This window comes from Homo sapiens, chromosome 1, assembly GCF_000001405.40.
Source record: "Homo sapiens chromosome 1, GRCh38.p14 Primary Assembly".
In the NCBI taxonomy this organism is placed as follows: Eukaryota; Metazoa; Chordata; class Mammalia; order Primates; family Hominidae; genus Homo; species Homo sapiens.
Genome location: NC_000001.11, coordinates 19452983 through 19474756, shown reverse-complemented (window position 1 = coordinate 19474756; position 21774 = coordinate 19452983). Strand labels below are relative to the sequence as shown.

General features: G+C 47.1%; 1 protein-coding gene across 8 annotated transcripts in view, besides 7 other annotated features; it reads left to right on the top strand.

The window, feature by feature from the left end:
- CAPZB (capping actin protein of muscle Z-line subunit beta) overlaps positions 1 to 21774 on the top strand; it is a 146765-nt gene that overhangs the window by 10783 nt on the left and 114208 nt on the right. The gene's annotated exons all lie outside the window — the stretch shown is intronic.
- Positions 4129 to 4918: an enhancer, noted in NCBI's record as "H3K4me1 hESC enhancer chr1:19796333-19797122 (GRCh37/hg19 assembly coordinates)". NCBI's record gives its function as "activates a minimal SCP1, AML or CMV promoter by ChIP-STARR-seq in primed H9 embryonic stem cells {active_cell/tissue: H9 hESC(primed)}" and the evidence as "EXISTENCE:reporter gene assay evidence [ECO:0000049][PMID:30033119]".
- Positions 4919 to 5709: an enhancer, noted in NCBI's record as "H3K27ac-H3K4me1 hESC enhancer chr1:19795542-19796332 (GRCh37/hg19 assembly coordinates)". NCBI's record gives its function as "activates a minimal SCP1, AML or CMV promoter by ChIP-STARR-seq in naive H9 embryonic stem cells {active_cell/tissue: H9 hESC(naive)}" and the evidence as "EXISTENCE:reporter gene assay evidence [ECO:0000049][PMID:30033119]".
- Positions 6088 to 6382: an enhancer, noted in NCBI's record as "tiled region #3035; K562 Activating DNase unmatched - State 1:Tss". NCBI's record gives its function as "activates a minimal TATA promoter and a strong SV40 promoter by Sharpr-MPRA in K562 cells {active_cell/tissue: K562}" and the evidence as "EXISTENCE:reporter gene assay evidence [ECO:0000049][PMID:27701403]".
- Positions 6310 to 6359: a silencer, noted in NCBI's record as "silent region_354". NCBI's record gives its function as "represses an Ori minimal core promoter by ATAC-STARR-seq in GM12878 lymphoblastoid cells {active_cell/tissue: GM12878}" and the evidence as "EXISTENCE:reporter gene assay evidence [ECO:0000049][PMID:35858748]".
- Positions 12848 to 13348: an enhancer, noted in NCBI's record as "H3K4me1 hESC enhancer chr1:19787903-19788403 (GRCh37/hg19 assembly coordinates)". NCBI's record gives its function as "activates a minimal SCP1, AML or CMV promoter by ChIP-STARR-seq in naive H9 embryonic stem cells {active_cell/tissue: H9 hESC(naive)}" and the evidence as "EXISTENCE:reporter gene assay evidence [ECO:0000049][PMID:30033119]".
- Positions 13349 to 13849: an enhancer, noted in NCBI's record as "H3K4me1 hESC enhancer chr1:19787402-19787902 (GRCh37/hg19 assembly coordinates)". NCBI's record gives its function as "activates a minimal SCP1, AML or CMV promoter by ChIP-STARR-seq in naive H9 embryonic stem cells {active_cell/tissue: H9 hESC(naive)}" and the evidence as "EXISTENCE:reporter gene assay evidence [ECO:0000049][PMID:30033119]".
- Positions 19635 to 19814: an enhancer, noted in NCBI's record as "active region_303". NCBI's record gives its function as "activates an Ori minimal core promoter by ATAC-STARR-seq in GM12878 lymphoblastoid cells {active_cell/tissue: GM12878}" and the evidence as "EXISTENCE:reporter gene assay evidence [ECO:0000049][PMID:35858748]".

Genomic DNA, 21774 nt, shown 5'->3' with positions numbered 1-21774 from the left:
CGTCACCCGCACGACCCCCTCAACAGGTACTGTGTTTATTTTCTGGTCCATTTTCTCCTCTTGTGAAGGTGGCAGGTCTTCCTAGGCACTCTCAGCTTCTACTAACCCGTTTGCATTGGTAAACTGCCCCGTACTTACAAGCTGCCCTGCTTCAGGGTTTGATATTTCATTTTAAGGGCAGGTGTTTGATTCTAAGGCATGTGAAGTGTCAGGGTTTAGGTTTAAGAAGGGGGCAAGATAAAGGAATGCAGGAAGAAAAATAGGGCTTGTTGGAAGGCAGCCTGGGGTAGTATAGCGAAAGGAGCCTCCCAGATCCACACCCCACTGTGGCTGCTTATGAACTGTGCGGGCTTGAACCTAGTCACTTCATGTCTCAGCCTCAACTTCCTGAGCAGCAAAATGGAAATACTATTGTCCTCTTCCAGGGTAGTCCAGAGGATTAAGTAAGAATACTGTAAATAGGGCCCGGTGAGGTAGTTCACACCTGTAATCCCAGCACTTTGGGAGGCTGAGGCAGGTGGATTGCTTGAGCCAGGAGTTCGAGACCAGCCTGGCCAACAGGGTGAAATCCTGTCTCTACAAAAAATACAAAAATTAGCCAAATGTGGTGGCACACACGTGTAGTCCTAGCTGCTTGGGAGGCTGAGGTGGGAGGATCATTTGAGCCTGGGAGGTAGAAGTTGCAGTGAGCCGAGATCACATCACTGCCTTCCAGTCTGGGTGATGGAGTGAGACCCTGTCTCAAAAAAAAAAAAGAATGTACATAAAATGCTATAGCTTAGTTCTCCCATGTGGACATTTAATACAGGCTTGTGATTGTCCATAGGAATTCCATCATTTGTCATGCTATTAACACCATTGGATTGGGTCTAAAAATCTCTCTCTTTTTTTTAAGACAGAATTTCATTCTCTTTGCCTAGGCTGGAGTGCAATGGCGTGGTCTCAGCTCACTGCAACTTCCGCCTTCTGGGTTCAAGTGATTCTCCTGCCTCAGCCTCCCAAGTAGCTGGGATTACAGGCACGTGCCACTATGCCCGGCTGATTTTTGTATTTTTAGTAGAGATGGGGTTTTGCCATGTTGGGCAGGCTGGTCTCGAACTCCTGACCTCAGGTGATCCACCTGCCTCGGCCTCCCAAAGTGCTGGGATTACAGGTGTGAGCCACCATGCCCAGCCAGATCTAAAAATCACTGTGCTGAAGGATACTGTACATCTAAAATGCAAGCAATAGTGATCACACTAAGGACAGATCCTGACTTTCAGGCTCTAGGGTGCTTGCTCTTGGGCCACTCCTTTAAGCTGATCAGGCCTTTGCACTTCTGCTTATGGGGTTTATCATGCAAGGGGACTTGGATTAGGCTGGCCTCTGTGCTTAACCTTGTAGTTATTATTTTATGCAATTACTACCATAGCCTTGGCATGCCCCCATTTTGCAGATGTGGATATGGAGGCCTTGAAAAGTTAAAAAATACTTGTAAAACATCACACAGCTAGGAAGGGGCAGAGATGGCCTTTCAAGCCATTCCTTTCAGATTCTAAAACTTGTCCCTCGCAGGCACCCTGGAGTCTGATCCAAGGATGTCATTTTCATGTACAGGGGAAAGTGCTTTATGTTAGTGATTGCAACAGATGTTCTTTAGAGTTTTTTAAACTTCTGCAGCTGAAAGTGGAGTATTTCTTAGGTGACTCCCTCAGTTTTGCTTTAATGACTTGGAACCCATCTTAAAATGCAGGAAGAATGGGCCGGGCACTGTGGCTCACACCTGTAATCCCAGCACTTTGGGAGGCCGAGGCGGGCGGATCATGAGGTCAGGAGATCCAGACCATCCTGGCTAACATGATGAAATCCCGTCTCTACTAAAAGTACAAAAAATTAGCCGGGTGTGATGGCGGGCGCCTGTAGTCCTAGCTACTCAGGAGGCTGAGGCAGGAGAATGGCGTGAACCCAGGAGGCGGAGCTTGCAGTGAGCCGAGATCGTGCCACTGCACTCCAGCCTGGGTGACAGAGCAAGACTCCAGCTCAAAAAAAAAAAAAAAAAAAAAAAAAATGAAGAATGAAAGCGCAGTAGTTGCAGCTCTTCATCTAAAATGGAACCTCATTCTCTACATAGTAACTACTAATCGGTAGTCAGGGTCTGGAATCACCTTTGAGTCCTTGGGTACTGCATAGTCCTGCCCCTCACTTCCCTTTCTCCTCCTCTTCTCTGCACACATCCAGGCAGACTCTGGAATAATAGAGCATAGTATGAGGATAAAGCTGTCATTGGCTAAGCTGGTGTTCACACTCAGGACCAGCTGGTTCCTTGCCCTGGCTGTGTTACACCTGCGGCCAGGGACGAGCAGAGGCCACAGTCTGCTGCCTGCCTACATAACCGACAGGTTATTAGTTCATGCCCCAAGGGTTTGAGCCACCCAGAGATGTTGAAAGAGATCCCTAACCTCAGAGGGTTTAGAGCTCTAGGCTGTAGATGGCAACATCTGCCTTCGAGATGAGTAGGGTCTCCATGTCCTCAGTTCATGACAACCTCTCTTACTTTTTCATCCTACTTTGCACTAGGTAATATTCCTGGGAAACAGGCCTCGCATTTTCTTAAACACTGATTTCATCTGTCCTTCCTCTAATAACTTTATCTGGAGGCGTTTATCAACCTTCTAACTAGAATACCCTTGTCCTTTTGCCTGCCACAGAACTGGTTTTCCCTGTGTGCTGATGGCCCATGGTTTCTGAGCTTTCTGTATTCCAGATGGAGAGCACGTAGGAGAATCCTGGGAATATCCTCAAGGATCCTACTTTTATCTTGGTTACATACTATCTGTGAGATGCATATTGGTTGTTGAGGAAGCATTTCTTTTTTTTTTTTTTTTTTTTTTTTTTTTTTTTTTTTTTTTTTTGAGACGGAGTCTCGCTTTGTCTCCCAGGCTGGAGTGCAGTGGAGCGATTTCGGCTCACTGCAAGCTCTGCCTCCTGGTTCACGCCATTCTCCTGTCTCAGCCTCCCGAGTAGCTGGGACTACAGGCGCCCGCCACCACGCCTGGCTAATTTTTTTTGGTATTTTTAGTAGAGACGGGGTTTCACCGTGTTAGCCAGGATGGTCTTGATCTCCTGACCTTGTGATCTGCCCACCTTGACCTCCCAAAGTGCTGGGATTACAGGTGTGAGCCACAGCGCCCAGCCGAGGAAGCATTTCTCGACGTAACAGACAAGAACTGGTTGCCATGGTTCCAACGAAGGGCCCTCCCATCACGTGACTGATTGTCAGAACATAGACATGTAAATACTGTGAGTGTGGGATCCTCAGCCCTGCACCCTTGGGGTCTGTGCTCCGAGTGCTTCAAGAGGCTTGACTACTTACTCCAGTGTCAGTTTGAGGCATTGGGTTAACTGATAAAATTCCCACTTGAATTTCATTACATGTCAGAATCTAAAGGGAAACAAATGGGGAAAGAGTGATTTCCAAGCCTTAGGTGATGGGCCTCGTTTTGGAACAAGTATAATCATCCCCCCTTTTTCCATAGTTTCGATTTCTGCAATTTCAGTCACCCGCCATCAACCCCAGTCCAGTATTTTGAAGAGAATACCACATGCACGTAGCTTTTATTATGGTATGTTGTTAGAATTGTTCGATGTTATCAGTTATTGATAATAACTGTGCCTGGTTTATGAATTAAACATCATAGGTATGCATGTGTAGGAAAAAACAGTATATATAGGGTTTGGTACTATCCAAGGTTTCAGGCATCCACTGGGGGTCTTGGAAGGTATCCCCCGAGGATAAAGGGGGGCCACTGTACAAGCAGCTCACACCTCAGCCTTAGCATTCAGCAGGCCTCAGAGCTAGGAAGGCAGGCCAGGTGGTGGCATTGGTTCTTGTGCACTTCACCTGGTCCTCTGCATGCACCGTTCCGTTTCCTTCCCAGAATCCTTCTAAGCATGGGATCCTATGAATTTAGGCCTTTATGTAAATTCAGAATGATACAGATTTAGACTTTATATAAATTGCCAATAAGTGGCAGAGTCAGGTCTTGAACCCAGCTGCTCTGAATTTAAAAGCCTTTGCCCTCAGCCTCTGCTGTGTCATGGAATTTTACTGCTCACAGGGGTTTGGGGCTTGACCAAGGTCCCACAGTAAACCACTGGAGCACTGGGATCAGGTCCTATGTCTAACACTCTAGAATCTAGATTCTACACTCTTGTGTGAGTCTTTTCTGCCACATAAACTTAGGCCTGTTTCAAAGCTCATCTTTGAACATCCTTTTTCAGTGATGCATGGAAAGACCACATTTTCCAAATAGGACATTGTGAGAGAGCTTCGTGGCAATTGGGTCGAACAGTCAGAATGCCAATGGCCTGAGTTCAAGAAGAAATCTAAGGAAAGGTCCAGATTCAAGCCCAGGTCCCTTTGATCTGTAGCTCATGTTTATGGGGTACATAGGGACAGGAATCATCGTAACAAGACACTGGAGAAAGTGGTTGTCCAACAGTAGGTAAAAATGGTGGCACATCTATGCAATGGACTATTTTTTATTTTTTATTTTTTGGCGACAGCGTCTCATGCTTTTGCTCAGGCTACAGTGCAGTGGCGTGGTGACAGCACACTGCAGCCTCCACCTCCCGGGCTCAAGCAGTCCTCTTGCCTCAGCCTCCCGAGTAGCTGGGACTGCAGATTTGCTCTACCGCACCCAGCAATTTTTGTATTTTTTGTAGAGACGGGGTTTCACCGTGTTGCCCAGTCTGGTCTCAAACTCTTGTGCTCAAGCCACAATGGAATGGAATGCAGCCATTAACATGTGACATGTGAAGACGGTGTTGTAGTTTGGAAGATGTGCTAGTGTTGAGTGAAGCACAGTAGTCCGTCTGTCCTGGGCTTGTGGTTCTGTGGAATACCCCCCGACCTGGGTGCTTGTGGGCATTACAGAAGTGAACAATTTGCAAGCCCTTTACTGTGCTCTCTGTTGCTTGCAGTGGGCGGGCGTGTGTGTGTGTGTGTGTGTGTGTGTGTGTGTGTGTGTGTGTGTATTCTTTTCCTCCTTTTGAGTATCTTCCTTCCTTGAGATAAGTCCCCAGGAGGGAGAGTGTAGAGTATTTTTTCTCTCTGCACCTTCTTGAACCGGTCACTTTGCTCTGACAAATGCTCTCTCCGTGGCCGCCGCCTCACTGCCTGTCCCCAGAGCCCTCTGAGCTGACTCATCCTCCCTGCCTAGCAGGCTTCACTTCACTTCCTCAATCTCCCTGTTCTGGCCAAGTTGAGAGGACTCCCTTCCTGCAAAAATGTGTTCTAAGGTTAGCTCATGGTTTTTGCTGTATTAATCTCTATGCCAGAACTGTTATTTATTAATTTTTTCTTTAAGTTTCCTCACTTTTTAACTTAAATTATTTAGGAAGGAAACTTTGTCCTTACCATGAATGGAAAACAATATCAATTGCTGTATATAGAAAGTACACACTGAAATAAACATATAGTCATCTACTGCCGTAAAAGATGTTCATCTGTAGAGCACCCACAATCCTCTGGCCACCACCAGCTTGTGGCTCCCCCTTCCCTGCCTGTTCCCTCCTGCCTGTGTCTTTCTGTCTTACCTTTCAGGGCTTGGCCCTATCCCGTCTTCACCGCCAAGCTTCCTTTGACTACTGCTGGCCTTCGTACCCGTCTCCCTGTCCATTCATTCAAAGAGACATTGATTAATATTGTGTGCCCAGCTTGGGGGTGGGCATGAAAAGGTACTTGCCGTCGCTATATGGAGACCATTGGTGGGAGCCAGTCAGACAGACGGACAGACTTGTAGAATGGAAGATAATTGCTGTCAGGGGCTGTGTCTGAGTGCAGCCGTACATTGAAGGAGGCGTCTCGCTGAGAGATTCAAGGCACGGGTCCCAGGGGACCGATTTTGTTGAAGTGGAGGTGAGAGGGCTCATTTGCCAGGAGGAGGAGAGGTGGGCCCAGAGACATGGCAGGCAGAGAGACGGCGTGTGCCGACTCAGTGGCCCAGGAGGGCATGGCGGGTGCTGGGGAAATGACTAATTTAAACTCAGAGGAGCCAGAAGAGTGAGGGGTGGGAGAGCTTTCAAAGCAGCTGGGTGGGAGGCAGGGCCATGCTGAGAAGGAAGTCCTGGGTGGAAGGAGGCTCTGATTTACCCTCTTCTATTTCAGTACACTCTCCTGCCCTGCCCTGCTCTGCCCTGCCCTGCTCCGCCCCACCCTGCCGCACAGCTGATACCTCAGAGTTTATCATTGACTTCCTTTTCACGACTCCACCCCCAACCCCTGTGTATCATCATTCCCTGAGCGCCTCCTATGTTCCAGGCCTTGGGGACCCCGAGCTAGTGAAAGGCCCACAGGCTAGTGGAGGGGAGTGGATGGCGCTTGGTTGAGTGTGAGCACCAGTGGCAAGGGACCCCTCTCCCCATCAGGAGGGAGCCCTTTGTAACCTGATAGTATCATTAAATAAAAGTTTATTGTGTTTTTTTGTTTTGTTATAAAAGCAGTATGTTTATTATGGAAAAGTTTGAAAATATAGAAAAGAGGGAAGAAACAAAAATAATTCATAATCTTAGCTTGCCAGCAGCACTGTTAACCTTTCAATATATTGTTTCAGCGTCTTAGTCTATATGCATAGTTTGGAGTTCATATTGTCAGTGCCTAGCCCCCTTTTTTAGGAGGCGGGGTCTCACTCTGTCACCCAGGCTGGAGTGCAGTGGCTCAATCATAGCTCACAGCAGCCTTGGACTCCTGAGCTCAAGGGATCCTCCTGCCTCAGCCTCTCAAAGTGTTGGGATTACAGGCGTGAGCCACTGCGCCTGGCTGAGGGCTGCATTCTTAGGCCCTGCAGGGGTGGAATGGGCACAGCTCTTGAGAGCTCTGCGGCCCTGCAGTGTTTTCAAGCTCTAGTTCCCAGCATCTGATGCTGGTGTGGAAACGATGTCGGGGAAGCATAATGAGGTGTTATGTGAACCCAAATTGTGCTTTAAACCAAAACAGCCCTGGTCATTTGGGCTTTTGTGAATGGGGAGGCTTTCGGGGGCCCTCTGGCCTCTCTGCACTGGGAAGCATGCAGCAGATGGAAGAGAATTTAATGGGGACACCTGAATCACTCAGGCAAGAAAATGGATTAAATATCTGAGCTGATACCTGTCCCACATACTGGGATAGAGGGAGGCCATTCTGATAGTAGTCTCAGGGCGGGTGTTAAAGGGCCATTTGCTCCCTGTGATTGGGCTGATACACAGTGTTTGGACCTTTGGACCTTAGCACGTTTGGGGTGAGAAGAGCGGTGACTTAGGCTAGATAAGTTTGTAGGGAGAATGAGTGTGGCACATCCGTGTCCTCTGCTGTGGGGGCCTCACTCCTCAGCGCAAGAGCTGAGCCGCTGGAGGGGACTGTTCCTCTCTTTGCCTCCCTTCTCCCTTCTGTTTGCTTTATCTTTCCTTTTATTCCTTCTTGCTTTAGCCTGCTGCACTGCAGGAATGAGCCCAGTGTGGCTGTCTACCAGCACAATGTTTGCTGGATTTGTATGCTACTTTTATTATTATTTATTTGAGGCTTTCCTTAAAATTGGCTTGAGGGCTGGGCACAGTGCCCGTAGTTGCCAGGCATGGTGGATCTCAGCACTTCGGGAGGCCAAGGTGGGAGGATCACTTGGGACCAGCCTAGGCAACATAGTGAGACCCAATCTCTACAAAATAAATAAATAAATAAATAAAAGCTGGGTGTGATGGTGCATCTGGAGTCCCAGCTACTTGGGAGGCTGAGGCGGGAGGATCCCTGGAGCTTGTGTGTTAGGATTTTTCCTATGAATAACTCCTGCATTCCAGCCTGGGTGACAGAACAACACCCTCTCTCAAAAACAAAAACAAAAAACTTTGGCCTGAGCCTAACACCGCTATCTAGCCTCTTCGTAAGCAGAAACATCTACAAAATCATGTTTGATGTGCTAGTTATATTTTTCCTATGAATATTAAATATAGGTAATTATTAAACTGCATTCATCCATATGCTCTCTAAAACCTCCCTTAAACCCCATTGGCCTGCACAGCATGCCATGGGAAATGCTGCAGGCGTGAAAAGAGCACTGTACCAGGAGTCTGGAGCGTGACTTGGGACTGCATCCTGGCCTCTGATGTGCTGGGTGATGTTGAACTATTCCCGATCCCCCATGCCTCTTTTTCTTCTTTGCATATCAGACCATGTGAGCACCAGGGTCCCTCCAGGCTCACACGTTTTGAGTGACTGCAGGATGCCATTCAGTGGTACCTCGAGGTTACTCAGCCCCTCTCACATCACCTGCGCCGTGAGGAAGCTCAGGACTCTGACCTAGACATGTGATCTATGAGCTCAAAAGATTGAAAAACGTTGCAGCTCAGGAACATTTTGTCTTCACGTGTGCTGCTTGTTTTTGTTTGGGTTTCAGCTCTCACTGTTTATTAGCCAAGGAAGCAGCCTGGTCTAGTGCAAAGAGTAAGGGCTTTGGAGCTAGGCAGGACCTTGAATAGCTCCATGCATCTGGCTCTGCCTCCCCAGTGTGGGAGTGAAAGACCCTCCTGGCGGAGCTGTGGAGCTGGTGGAGTAGGCCAGGAGCACAGATTCACCTCTGAGTCTGATCCTCCACCCACCACACCTCAGCCTAAGTGCGTGCAGTGATTAGTGTCGCCTCTGTCCCAATAAAAGGGTTGTCCTTGGTCATGGATGGTAGCTGGGCTCCTGGGGCCAGACTGCCTGGGTTTAAATCTTTGTTCCCTTACACTTTTAGCTGTGTAGCCTTGGGCTTCACTTAACTCTCTGGGACTGGTTCCTTGTCATAGGATCGATTTGAGGCTAATTAAATGAGGTCAAGCAGGTAAGAAGGCCTGTCATACCTAGCACATATAGGGCTCCGTACATGTTGTTGGTCTTATCACTGTTAATGAGTTAATGCACGTCAAATGAGTCGTAGCACCTGGGACATAGTAAGTGCCCAATAAATGGTAGCTCTTGTCTTTATCACATGAGCCCAGAGGCCCAGGACAGGAGGCACTGGCTTCTGGGAGGAGAGGAGATAGATGGTTTTCTACATTCAGCTCTGGTTAGATCCAGAGGTTTTCATTCTCCCCACCCTCTAAGCTTTTGGTGCCTATATCCCTGACCAACAGGAACCCAGCAATGGACCACACCACTTCTACCTGAGCCATTGCACAGAGTCACCTCTGCAGTTGGCTTTGAAAGAATTAGAGCTCAAGTTTGGAATAGGCAATTCAGTCACAGGTTTCAAAAATAAAAATATATACATTGTCTTAGTCTGTTTGGGCTCCTGGAACAAATACCTTAAACTGAATAATTTGTACACAACAGAAATTGATTACTCACAGTTCTGAAGGCTGGGAAGTCCGTAAGCAAGGTCTTGGCAGACTCAGTGTTTGGCAAAGGCTTGTTCTCTGCATCATAGACAGCGCCTCACATGGTGGAAGGGGCTGGCCAGCTCCCCTGGGCCTCTTATAGGGGCATTAATGTCATTCATGAAGGTGGGGCCCTCATGATCTAATCACCTCTTAAAGGCCTCACCTCTTAACTCTGGCATTGGGGATTATGTTTCAGCATATGAATTTTGAGGGGGTACCAGCATTCAGACCACAACACACATAAAACACTGCCTTCTCTTCTCACATGCCCAGTGTCTTCCACTCTCCCCTGCCAACCACAGCTAAGATTTCTAGGGTCTTCTTTTTTTTGTTTTTAATCAGGGTATTATTTGCAAGTAATAAAATTAACCAGCTTTAAGTGTACAGTTTGAGTTTTGGTACTAATCATGTTGCCACCACCACAATCGAGTTATAGAACAGTTTCCTCACCCTAAAAAGTCCCTTCATGCCCCTTTGGCCCTTTTCCCCCTCCTAGACAGCCTTGTTCCCCATCCCTAGACAACCACTGATCTGCTTTGTCACCGCGGTTTTGCCTTTTCTATAATTGTAAATAAATGGAAGCAGATAGTATGGAGTCTTTTGTGTTTGACCTCTTTCGTGTAACATGATTTATTTGATTCATTCATGTTGCATGTATTAATATTTCCTTTTCTTGCTGTAGAGCATTCCATAGTATTCCATGGTATGGACGTACCATTCAGCAGTTGATGAACATTTGGGTTGCCTCCAGTTTTTGGATGTTGAGAGTAAATCTGTTATAAATCTTCACAGATAGGGCCGGGTGCGGTGGCTTACACCTGTAATCCCAGCATTTTGGGAGGCCGAGGCGGGTGGATCACGAGGTCAAGAGATCGAGACCATCCTGGCTAACAACGGTGAAACCCCGTCTCTACTAGAAATACAAAAAATTAGCCGGGCATGGTGGCGGGCACCTGTAGTCCCAGCTACTCGGGAGGCTGAGGCAGGAGAATGGCGTGAACCCGGGAGGTGGAGCTTGCAGTGAGCCGAGATTGCACCACTGCACTCCAGCCTGGGCGACAGAGCGAGACTCCATCTCAAAAAAAAAAAAAAAAAAAATCTTCAGAGATAAGCTTTTATGTGGACTTTTTCTTTTTCGGTTTTCTTTCTTCCTTTCCTCCTTTGCTCCTCTCTTTCTTTTCTCTTTTCTTTCTTCCCTTTTTCGACAGAGTCTTGCTCTGTTGCCCAGGCTGGAGTGCAGTGGCATGATCTTGGCTCACTACAACCTCTGTCTCCCAGGTTAAAGCAATTCTCCTGCCTCAGCCTCCTGAGTAGCTGAGATTACAGGTGTGCACCACCACATCCAGCTAATTTTTTTTTTTTTTTTTGTATTTTTAGTAGAGATAGGGGTTCACCATGTTGGCCCGGCTCAAACTCCTGGTCTCAAGTGATCTGCCCACCTTGACCTTCCAAAATGTTGGGATTACAGGCATAAGCCACCGTGCCTGGCCTGCTGTCCTCATTTCTTTAGGCATAACAAGCAAATACAAATATATTTCATTTCTCCTCTTTTTAACATAGAGGGTGAAATATTATCCACGTTTCTCCACCCTGTGTGCTTTGAAAGGGCCTCACCTCCAGATGAGAAGATGCATATGAAGTCTTTATAACTTGGCCATGTGTTCTAGTGTCCCAGGAGCTAAGGGTGCCAAGTGGTCTTCCTGGCTCCTGGAGTGTGTACCAGCCTCCTGGGGCCTCAAAGGAAAGTGGTGGAGGTGGGCATGGTGGCCACTGGCCCAGCAGCAAGGCTGGCACCCTGGGCAGTTCCAGCTCACAGGGCCTTTTGCTCTCCCAACCATTTAAGGTGGGGAGTAAGGTTATGTGAGCTTAGGTGGGGTCATAGAGTATTTTGGTATTCTGATGCCAAAATTTAACTGTAAAGGAAATGAGCCTGTTTACTGACTTCTAAGAAATCACATCCTTTTGCAAAACCACAGGTGTTTTGCAGAAGCAGCCGACCCAGTCTTTTATGGCACTCTTATGTAAGTGAGGCTTGGCCAGCGGTTGCCGAACTGTGTTAAAGAATGCTCAGTTTGCTGGTGTGGAGAAGAGCGGCACAAGTGAGGTGTTTGCACAGAACACATTTTCATAAAATCCTGTGTACTCTCACCTGCCCTCAGACCCCAGACATTGCCCTGTAGACCCGCGCAGCCACCTAATAATACTCTATTTGAACTTTCTGAGGGAGATTGGACTTGACAGGAATATGCAGATTTGCATAATAAAGCAAGGCTAACGAGGTCTTTCCCTTCCTGCTGCCTTGCAATAGGATTTAGGAAACTAAATCTGCTGGATGAGAACAGAAATTACACATTAATGATATCTTCTCTTTGCAGCTGTGCTGTCCACTGGAACTTTCTGTGATGATGGAAATGTTCTATATCTGGGCTGTTCCATAATCACTATCCACATACAGCTCTTGAGCACTTGAAATGTGGCTAGTGTGATTGAGGAACTGAATATTTGGTTTTATTTCATTTTAGTGGACTGAAATTTCAGTATCAGTGAATTCAATTTGATAAATTGAAATTATCGAAGGCTAGTGGCTGCCTTAGCGAACAGTGCGGGTGCTGATGAATGTTGACTCCCATTGAGAACTTTTCTTTAAAGAATTCTTCTGGATAGGAGCCAGAGGGAATGCCATTCAACTGGACCTGTTTTTAACTGTTTTGAAGCACATTAGGTGAATAGGTGAATATGTTGTTTCATATGTGGTTATTATTTATTCAATGCGCTTACTTCGTGCCTACTATTTTTTAAACACTGCAGTAAATGCTGTTGGACTATCAGGAGTTATCTAACATGCTTACCCTCCTTGGGCCTCAGTTTCCCCACCTGTATTGAGGGTTTGGACCAGATGACTTTTTTTAATTTTAATTTTTTTTTTTTTTGAGACGGAGTCTCACTCTGTCGCCCAGGCTAGAGTGCAGTGGCACGATCTCAGCTCACTGCAAGCTCCGCCTCCCAGGTTCACGCCATTCTCCTGCCTCAGCCTCCTGAGTAGCTGGGACTACAGGCGCCCGCCACCACGCCTGGCTAATTTTTTTTTTTTGTATTTTTAGTAGAGACGGGGTTTCACCGTGTTAGCCAGGATGGTCTCAATCTCCTGACCTCGTGATCCACCTGCCTCGGCCTCCCAAAGTGCTAGTATTACAGGCATGAGCCACCGCGCCTGGCCTTAATTTTTTTTTTTTAAAGAGATGGGGTATCTTGCCCAGGCTGGAGTGCAGTGGCTCATTCACAGGTGTGATCACAGCTCACTGCAGCCTCAAAGCCCTGGGCTCAGGTGATCCTCCTTCCTCAGCCTCCTGAGTAGCCGAGACTGCAGGTCCCTTCTTGTGCAGTCATTTTTATGATTGTATCATTAATAGAATCAGTAGTAATAGCACATATTTATTCATTGCTGTGTGCCAGAGACAGTATTCAAGACATTAAGTCAATGCATCATCTCACTTAAATGTAATGACTTAATCTTCATTCACCCCAGTGAGCTAGGTGTTATTATCCTAGTTTTAGAGACAAGAAAACTGAGGCTCAGTGAGGGTAGGTAATTCGCCTGTTATGATGTTTCTGGTGATCCATAGCATTCGGATTCCTACTCAGGCTTGCCCCATTCCAAACTCTTCTTCAGTTAAGTATTTATGCAGTGGCTTCTAAAAGATAGATTTCGTTTCCATAAACACTTAAAACTCTTATTTTAAGTAAAAGTTCCATCAGGTTTTTACAAAAATAGATTTTACCCTAGTGCTCAAGTCAAGGGGGCAATGGCCCTGCGGGTTTAGGATTTAGGATGAGGTGAGCAGGAAGCATGCGTGGAAGCCAGCTCATGCCCCTCATGCATATTCACGAAGGGCCTGCTTCTGTGAAACAGACCCCGACTGGAGTGCCTCTGGATGCCCATGCTCAGCTCAGGCTGGGTGAAGCTCCGCCTCAGCCAGGAGCTCCAAGGAGTGGCAGGTGGGTCGGGGGAGAGAGAAGGAGGCAGAGCCTGGTCCTACAACGTTCAGTTGTCCCTCTGTGTGACCTATGCTGAGGGTTGCCAGTTTGCAAAGCAACAGTGACCTATGCTGAGGCTTGCCAGTTTGGACCTGAAAGTGGGCTCCACCCCCTGCTTACTAGCTGGGTGACCTTGTGCAAGTCCCTTCACCTCTCTAAGCCCATATGAAGATCCATTCTCCCATCCACTAACAATACTTCTGGAGGCTCAGCCCATGAGCCACGTGCTGTGCTGGAACCCGCCCCTCCCCCCCCCGCCCCCGCCCAGGGGTGAATAAGAGACAGCTGCTCTGCCTACTTGAAGCTTGCATCTGAGTGAAGATGAACTTTCCTTTCCCAGCCTTGAGAGAGGGAGGCTGAGCTCAGTAGCTCAGCTCCTGGGTTGGTTTTGAACAGTAAATGATCTAGGTACCTGGCCAGCACAGCTCCTGGTGCCCCTTTCCTGAAGGCTAACAATGCAGTTCAAATTATATGCTTATGCATGTTCAGAACACAGTAGACATCATGTGTCGGTGGGTGTTGAGCTGGGGTCCCTGGCTGCCTGTTGCTCTTAAGGAGTGATACAGCCATCCTCCCCTATCCGTGGGGAATGTGTGCCAAGACCCCGAGTGGATGCCTGAAACTGCGGTTAGTACCGTTGATCAGAACTTGGTGGCTCATGCCTGTAATCCCTGCACTCTGTGATGCTGAGGTGGGTGGATCGCTTGAGCTCAGGAGCTTGAGACCAGCCGGGGCAACATCTCCACCAAAAATACAAAAAAAAAAAAAAAAAAAAAAAGCCTGGGCACAGTGGCTCACGCCTGTAATCCTAGCACTTTGGGAGGCCGAGGCAGGTGGATCACGAGGTCAAGAGATCGAGACCATCCTGGCTAACACGGTGAAACCTGTCTCTACTAAAAATACAAAAAATTAGCCGGGCGCGGTGGCGGGCACCTGTAGTCCCAGCTACTCGGGAGGCTGAGGCAGGAGAATGGTGTGAACCCGGGAGGCAGAGCTTGCAGTGAGCTGAGATCGCGCCACAGTGCTGTAGCCTGGGCGACAGAGCGAGACTCCGTCTCATAAAAAAACAAACAAACAAAAAACCAATACTGTTCATGTCTTCCACTCACAAATTTAATGCCTTTTCCATCTTAACTAAGCACTTACTACACACTGTGGCTGTAACTTTTGCAGTTTGAGGTGTGACAGTAAAACTAGCATTTATTTTTCCTTCACAATTTTACAGATAGAAGGTTTGTTCTTACTGTAGATCTTAGTAACCTCAGCATACAGTTTTTTTTCGTTCCTTATTAGATCAAGAACTTTCACCTTTTCACTTAAAGGAAGCATTTGGCAACTTCTCTTTGGGATAATGGAATTGACAGCATCACTACTCTTGCGCTTTGGGGCCATTATTAAGTCAGATAAGGGTGACTTGAACACAAGGACTGCAACTGTGTGATCACTAAGAAGGCAACTACGTGACTATGGGGTGGGCGGTGTAGACAGTGGATTCACTGGATAAAGGGATGATTTACGTCTGGGGCGGTACAGCAGGATGTCATCATGCTACTCAGAGCCGTGGGAAATTTTGAACTTCTGAATTGTTCATTTCTAGAGTTTTTCACTTAATATTTTCAGACCACTGTTGACTGTGGGTAATTGAAACTGCAGAAAGTGAAACTGCAGGTAAGGGGGACTGTTTTACTCTTCTTCAACCAAGTGGAAGGGTGGACGATGTGGCTAAAGCTCCCAGCACAGTGCCCGGCCCACAGTGGCTGTCCGGGTACTGGCATTTCTTTCTCCCAGCCCCTATCCCGTTTTTTGGATGAAGAAATTCTACCCCAGGTGTGGGGGCTGAGAGGCTGAGCAAGGCGTGGTAGAAGGTTTTAAAAAAATCAATCAAAGCAGGTCTCCTATTTTCTCTCTTTAAAAATATTTTAATCTCCGAATTGTCTTTCTGCCTGCAAAAGTAATGCTTATTTTATTTAAATAACACAGAACTTTAACAACTTTAACGACTTTTCATTCTACCCCTGAGATACTGCTAAGACTTTGATAGACATTTGTTGAGGTGTTTTCTGTGCCTGTGTTTGAATGATTTTTAAATGGCTCTACCCATACAGGTGGTTGTTCAGCCTGTTCTTTTCAGTGTGTTCTTTCCATCCTTTTTACTTTGTTGAGTAAAATTAGCCTTGTCCTCAGGCCAGCAAAGGGAAGCAAACATCCTTTAAGACTCTGGCCTGGAAAAATGGGACCTGGTTGAAGGTGGAGGAGGCCTTTGGAAGGGCAGGCAGGCGGGAGGGTCAGGCCCGTGGGGTGGCACTTTCCCTACCACACCTTCCTGCCAACGGTCTCCTGCCAACAGACTTTGCCTGCTGGCTTTCCTGACCTGGTGAGCTGTTTCTGCCCTTCGAATGTTCCACATGGAGGTGCCCTCTCCACCTAGTAGTTAAAAAGGAGAAGCCTGCCTGCATTTTTCAGAATTGGGCTTAAATGTGGTGAAACTGACTTTGGTCATTTTGTTTCTGTCCGTTGCTTCACACCTTAGAAGGATTTCTCTCCTTTTTGGATTACAGAATTCTGAGGACTGCTTTTAGACCACTCTATTTGTGTGTCACATGTGTTTACAGATCTGTCCTTAGACATTGAAGAGGGGTGGTAGCGCAGAGCAGGGGCAGATACTGTGAACATCTAAAGTTATTAAACCTTGCATAAGGCTGGGCATGGTGGCTCACGCCTGTAATCCCAGCACTTTGGGAGGCTGAGGCGAGCGGATCACCTGAGGTCAGGAGTTAAAGACCAGCCTGCCCAACATGGCGAAACCCCGTCTCTACTAAAAGTACAAAAAATTAGCCAGGCTTGGTGGCAGGCACCTGTAATCCCAGCTACTTGGGAGGCTGAGGCAGGAGAATCACTTGAACCCGGGAGGTGGAGGGTTGCAGTGAGCTGAGATCGCACCACTGCACTCCAGCCTGGGCAACAGGAGTGAAACTCCGTCTCAAAATTAAGCAAACAAACAAAACAAAACAAAACTTGGATAAATACTTTCATAAAAGTATTAAAGCTTTCATAAAAATACTTTCATAAAAGTATTAAAACTTTCAAAAAATATTATGTTGACCCATGTGAAAGTGCCACTTGTGTAGGTCAGAAATGGCTGTGTGTTGGCAATTTCATGTAGTTCAACTTAATAAAGCATCATTGTGGAAAGCTCAGATCACAGAAGGAAAAAAGTCACTTGCACCAGTTTAGTGTTTTTTTTTTTTTTTTTGGCAACTCCTTTTATTTCTTATATACATGAGGTTTTTGATTAGTTGTGGTCATAGGCTACATATAATTATTCATCTTCCTTTTTAAAAATTATTATGACCTAAGACTTTTCCCACATTATCAGGAAGTCCTTACAACCATCATTGCTTACTGGCTGTTTACTCCTTAAACATCAGATGGCAGGGGGGTAACTTCCCTGATGTTGCCCTTTAGGTTTTTTCCAGTTGTTGTTGTTTTTCTTTTTTTTCCTTATAAGCGATGTCACAGTGACTGGTCCTTCTGAAGTGGTTTCTGTGTTTGGATTCCCAGGAGTAACGTTACCGTGCCACAGTATGAACACTTTTACAGCTCTTGACAAATTCTGCCAAGTTGCTTTCCAAAGTGTCAGGCCGATTCATAACACCGTCCGCAGTGTGAGCATCAGGTTATTGCTTCTTTGTTAACACTGGGCGCTTTTCTCCCTTAATTTCTAATTTAGTCAGCAGTACATCGTCCCTCATTTTTCACTTGTATGTCTTCACTTGGCAAAGTTGAATATTTTTGTGCATATGTGTTTGCGGGTTGCAATGTCATTTCTCTCCACCTTTGAGCCATGTGCTTAAATATGCTTGTACCAAATTAGAGAATTATCAGTACATAGTATTGTAAGAGCTCCTCAAGCATGCGGTGGATCACACAGTGCCCTCTGAGCCAGCCTGTGCGCCATTGTTTGGGGAATTAAAGGTGCCTAATTAGTGCGATCAAGCCCGGAAGCGAGCACTGCGGACCTTGTCTGTAGTCTCTGGGGCCCACTGGTGATGTCTGTGTCATCTTCTACCTTCAACTGTGCTGTGAACCCAGTTGAAATTTGATCACATTACAGTATGGCTAAGGGGCCTAATCAGCCGTAAACCTCAGGAAATTCAAAAATTAGAGAGTCCATTAATCCCAAGGCCCCTCCCTTTGTGAGTGTCTCTAATTCCCCTTTGGTTTGCTCGCTTTTCCCGCTGTGCTTTAGTTCCAACAAGACTTGGGTAGAATGACTGCCTTTTTTCTGGAACTTCCTGCCTTTCTGGGGTTAACCCTAACCCTTTAGGCTACCCTCCAACACACACAGAGCTAATCTCTAAGTAATAGTTTGGAATGCTGGTCCATTTCCTGGATGAAAATCTTCAAGAGTGCCCTGCTCAAATGAGTATAATGACCTTTATTAGTGCTCTTACCATCTTCTGTCCTGGAGGAATACAGATGACCCATGCAACAATACCTTTTGCTGAAGTTGTGTTTGAGATTTAAGCATCATCTTCCCTTCTCCCTTTATAACATTATTGGGTTTTTGTTAGGTTTGGGATTCCTGTGATCTGAGCAGCCCCTGCCATCGGCCGCTCTGTTTGCCTTTCCCAAATAGACTCCATGGGCAGCCCCAGTGAAATAGTCTGTTCGAGGATGTCACGTTGTGGGATGGTCTGATCCTTAAAGACAGGCTGGGTCTGTGGGCTGGAGTATTCTTGCTCTGAATTTTTTTCTGTACGGGGGAATCGTGCATGGGTAGGGGGATAGTTCTGCATTCCATGTGAGGCAGTCGATGAACCAAGAACACCTACGTTGAAGGGAACCCAAGACTGGGATATTGAGGCTAACGCTGGAAAGATGGTCCTGTTGTATACCAGTCTCTGTGTGAAACCAGAGATTATCTTGTGGGATTTATTTTTTTAAAAAACTAGTTTCCAATGGAATACCTGATCCTGGCTTGGATTTGCACCTGACCCTCTTCTTAGAGGTGTCATTAGTATTCAGATTATTTTAAAATTTCTTTTGTTTACTTCTCAAAGCTCTTGCTTCTCTCTTCAATGTGTTCTGTTTACTATAGCAGCAGATTGTTGGTTGCCCTTAAAATTATGAGCCTTGTGGACCGGGCCTGGTGGTTCACACCTGTAATTTCAGCACTTTGGGAGGCCAAGGCAGGCACATCACTTGAGGCCAGGAGTTCAAGGCCAGCCTGGCCAACATGGCAAAACTCCATCTCTACCAAAAATGCAAAAATTAGCCAGACATGATGGTGCGCGCCTGTAGTCCCAGCTACTTGGGAGGCTGAGGCAGGAGAACCGCTTGAACCCAGGAGGCAGAGGTTGCAGAGCTGAGATCGTGCCACTGCACTCCACCCTGGGCAACAGAGTGAGACTTGGTCTGAAAAACAAATAAACAAGAGCCTTGCATATAAGAATCTTATAAAATGTAGGAAACTGGCCCTTGTTTTTCCTGTGTATATAACTTGCTTGAGATTGTGACCTATTCATGGCTTAGAAAGGAAGTGTATGTGTTGTAGCCTGTGGTACTGGATGTGGCAGTGTCCATGGACCTCTGAGTCTGCCAGCTCTTTTGGAAGGACCTGAGATGAGTGACAATTGGCGTCAGGGCCAATCTCATCTCTTTGTAGCTCCTCAGTGATTTTTATCAAGCAGGATGCAAATCCAAAGGCCCACAGTGGCTGGTAGATAAGAGTAAATAGGCCAGGTCAAGAGACCCAAGATGCGGCAGGGACTGTGACGGATTGGAGGGCACTTGCTGTGGGCATCCCGCTTGTTGGAAACCACTAGCGTGTGACAGGACAGACCATGTGTGTTGAGAAATAATAGTCCCAGCCTTAATGAGGCCAGTGGGGACCAGCAAGGGAGGCCTGCATGTCTTATCCATCACGTGGCCACCCAGCGATCTTCTCTCATCGTCCTCTTCTAGAAAGTAAAGTTTAATTTTATTTTTTGAGTTAAGAAATAAAAATGGAAATAGACTCTCTCTCTATGGGATCCCAGGAGCCCTGTGTTAGCATTTGCTGATGTGGAATCGTTTTGTTAACCATACTCCACCTTATTCACCCACACTCAGCACAGCCAGGCCTTTCATATTTTTTAGATGGACCCCTTTGTTTCCCCTTAACCCAGGAACCCTTGCCTGCTCCCGGGACGGGAGGCATGAATTGTCTCTGTCTGCCACTCCTGGGGGTGTCTCAGAGCTTGTCCTGCTCTGTCTCCACAGCCAGGCTGCCTGCAGGGTTCCAAGCCCTCCGGGCCCTCCGCATCCTGGCTGCTTGGACTGCAATTTGGCTTCCTCTTTGCGGGACCGGTGTCCTGTGAATTCAGCTGTAACTCACCCACTCAGCCCCTCTTCCTTCCCTTTACCAAGAGTTTATCTTTCCTTTATGGCTCCTGCTGATGTCTGCAGTTTCTCAGCAGAGGCACTTTCATGCTGCAGTGGGCATTTTAAACATCATTTAGATGAACGGAACAGTAATTTTCTGATGTGTCACCCAGAAATGGTTCTGCCTTTGCCTCACAGCCTCTAAGCTCTACTCCTTGAATGAGTATTTGTAAGTATTAATAGTTTAGAGAAGATCGTGACAATTGCTTTCTGAAATGAGTTAGTGAAGCCTTTGGCATTACAGTACAGACTGCGAGCTTGCACTCAGGCAGCCTAGATTTCCTGCTTGGCAGCTCTGTGGCCCTAGGCAAGTCCCTCAGGTCACTGAGCCTCGGTTTCCACAATTGTCATTTGGGATGATCGTGTGTGACTCAGAGGGTTGTTGTAAGGACCAAGTGAGGAATGTGCATAAATGTGCCACTACTCTAAGCGCTCAGGAGTGACTCTTAGGACTCTTATATAACTTTCCAAAATAAAAGCAGCAGGAAAGCCCTCCAAATATCATTTGCTTGACTTTCTCTGGAAAAGAGTTTTAAAGATCAGGATGCAGATATTATGGGGTAACATAGGGGACCTGATGGGACAAACTTGCTCTTTGGGGTTTACATCTTACGTGGCCAGCATTTCATTCTTCAGCCCACCTGAGGGACTGCCTTAGCCTACCTGTGAGTGCAGGTGTGAATTATCAGCACTGCAGGGATGGCGCTACTCATGGCCAGTCTTGCCTGCCTTTTATTGTAGGGTTTTCTAGCCAAGGCTTCCTTGAACTGCAGTTATTCCTGAGCTTTTATTCAGGACCTCCTGTTGGAGGGCCTGAGCCTGGAGAAACCTAAGATGTGATGCCTGCCCTCCAGGAGCCCTGGCCACTCTGGGGGATGAGTCTGTAGCCTTCTACAACTCCAGGAGGCAGCGCACTTAGGGGAGGGTTGAAATTGCAGACGCTGCAGCTGGCTGCCTGGGCGTGAGTCCCAAGTGGCCCCAGTCCTTAGCTTCTTTGTTCCTCATTTTCATCTGTAAAATGGCAGTAGGGATGTCTACCAGGGGATGAGTTAATGCATCTAATGTGCATTTCACTGCCTAGCCCCCAGCAAGGGCTCAGTAATTGTTCACTATTCACATAGTAAAAGGGGTGGATTCAGCAAATATTCACAGGGATGGTGAACAAGACAAAGCCCCTGCTATTCTGGGCGGGACAGATTGTGATTGTGATACAAACACAGTCATTTTGAGTTGTGAGATGTGTTGTGAAGTCAGGTGACAGGGAAGACCTAGAAGGAGAGAGAGGCCTTCCAGGTGGGAGGAGAAGACAAGGAAGGGGCCACGGGTACAAGGCTTCCCAGGTTGAGACATAGAAAGAGGCGCTGGTGGCCAGGGGCAGTGGCTCACGCCTGTAGTCACAGCACTTTGGGAGGCCGAGGCAGGTAGATCACCTGAGGTCAGGAGTTCGAGTCCAGCCTGGCCAACATGGTGAAACGCCGTCTCTACTAAAAATACAAAAATTAGCTGGCGTGGTGGTGCGCCCCTGTAATCCCAGGTACTCAGGAGGCTGAGGTGGGAGAACTGCTTGAACCTGGGAGGTGGAGGCTGCAGTGAGCCGAGATTGTGCCACTGCACTCCAGCCTAGGCGACAAAGTGAGACCCCAACTCAAAAAAACAAAACAAAAAAATAGAATAAAAGACGTGCTGTTAGTTATCAGTAGCACAGGGGCCCGGTGACACCGGGCCTGTATGCCAGGTTGTAAGTCTAACAGTCACAAGAAGCTGGAAGGTGTCAATCTGGGCGATGACTTTATTTATGTTAAAATAAATTATTCTGACTGCCAGCCAGGCACGGTGGCTCACGCCTCTAATCCCAGTGCTTTGGGAGGCTGAGGCAGGTGGATCACCTGAGGTCAGGAGTTCGAGACCAGCCTGGCCAGCATGGTGAAACTGTATGTCTACTAA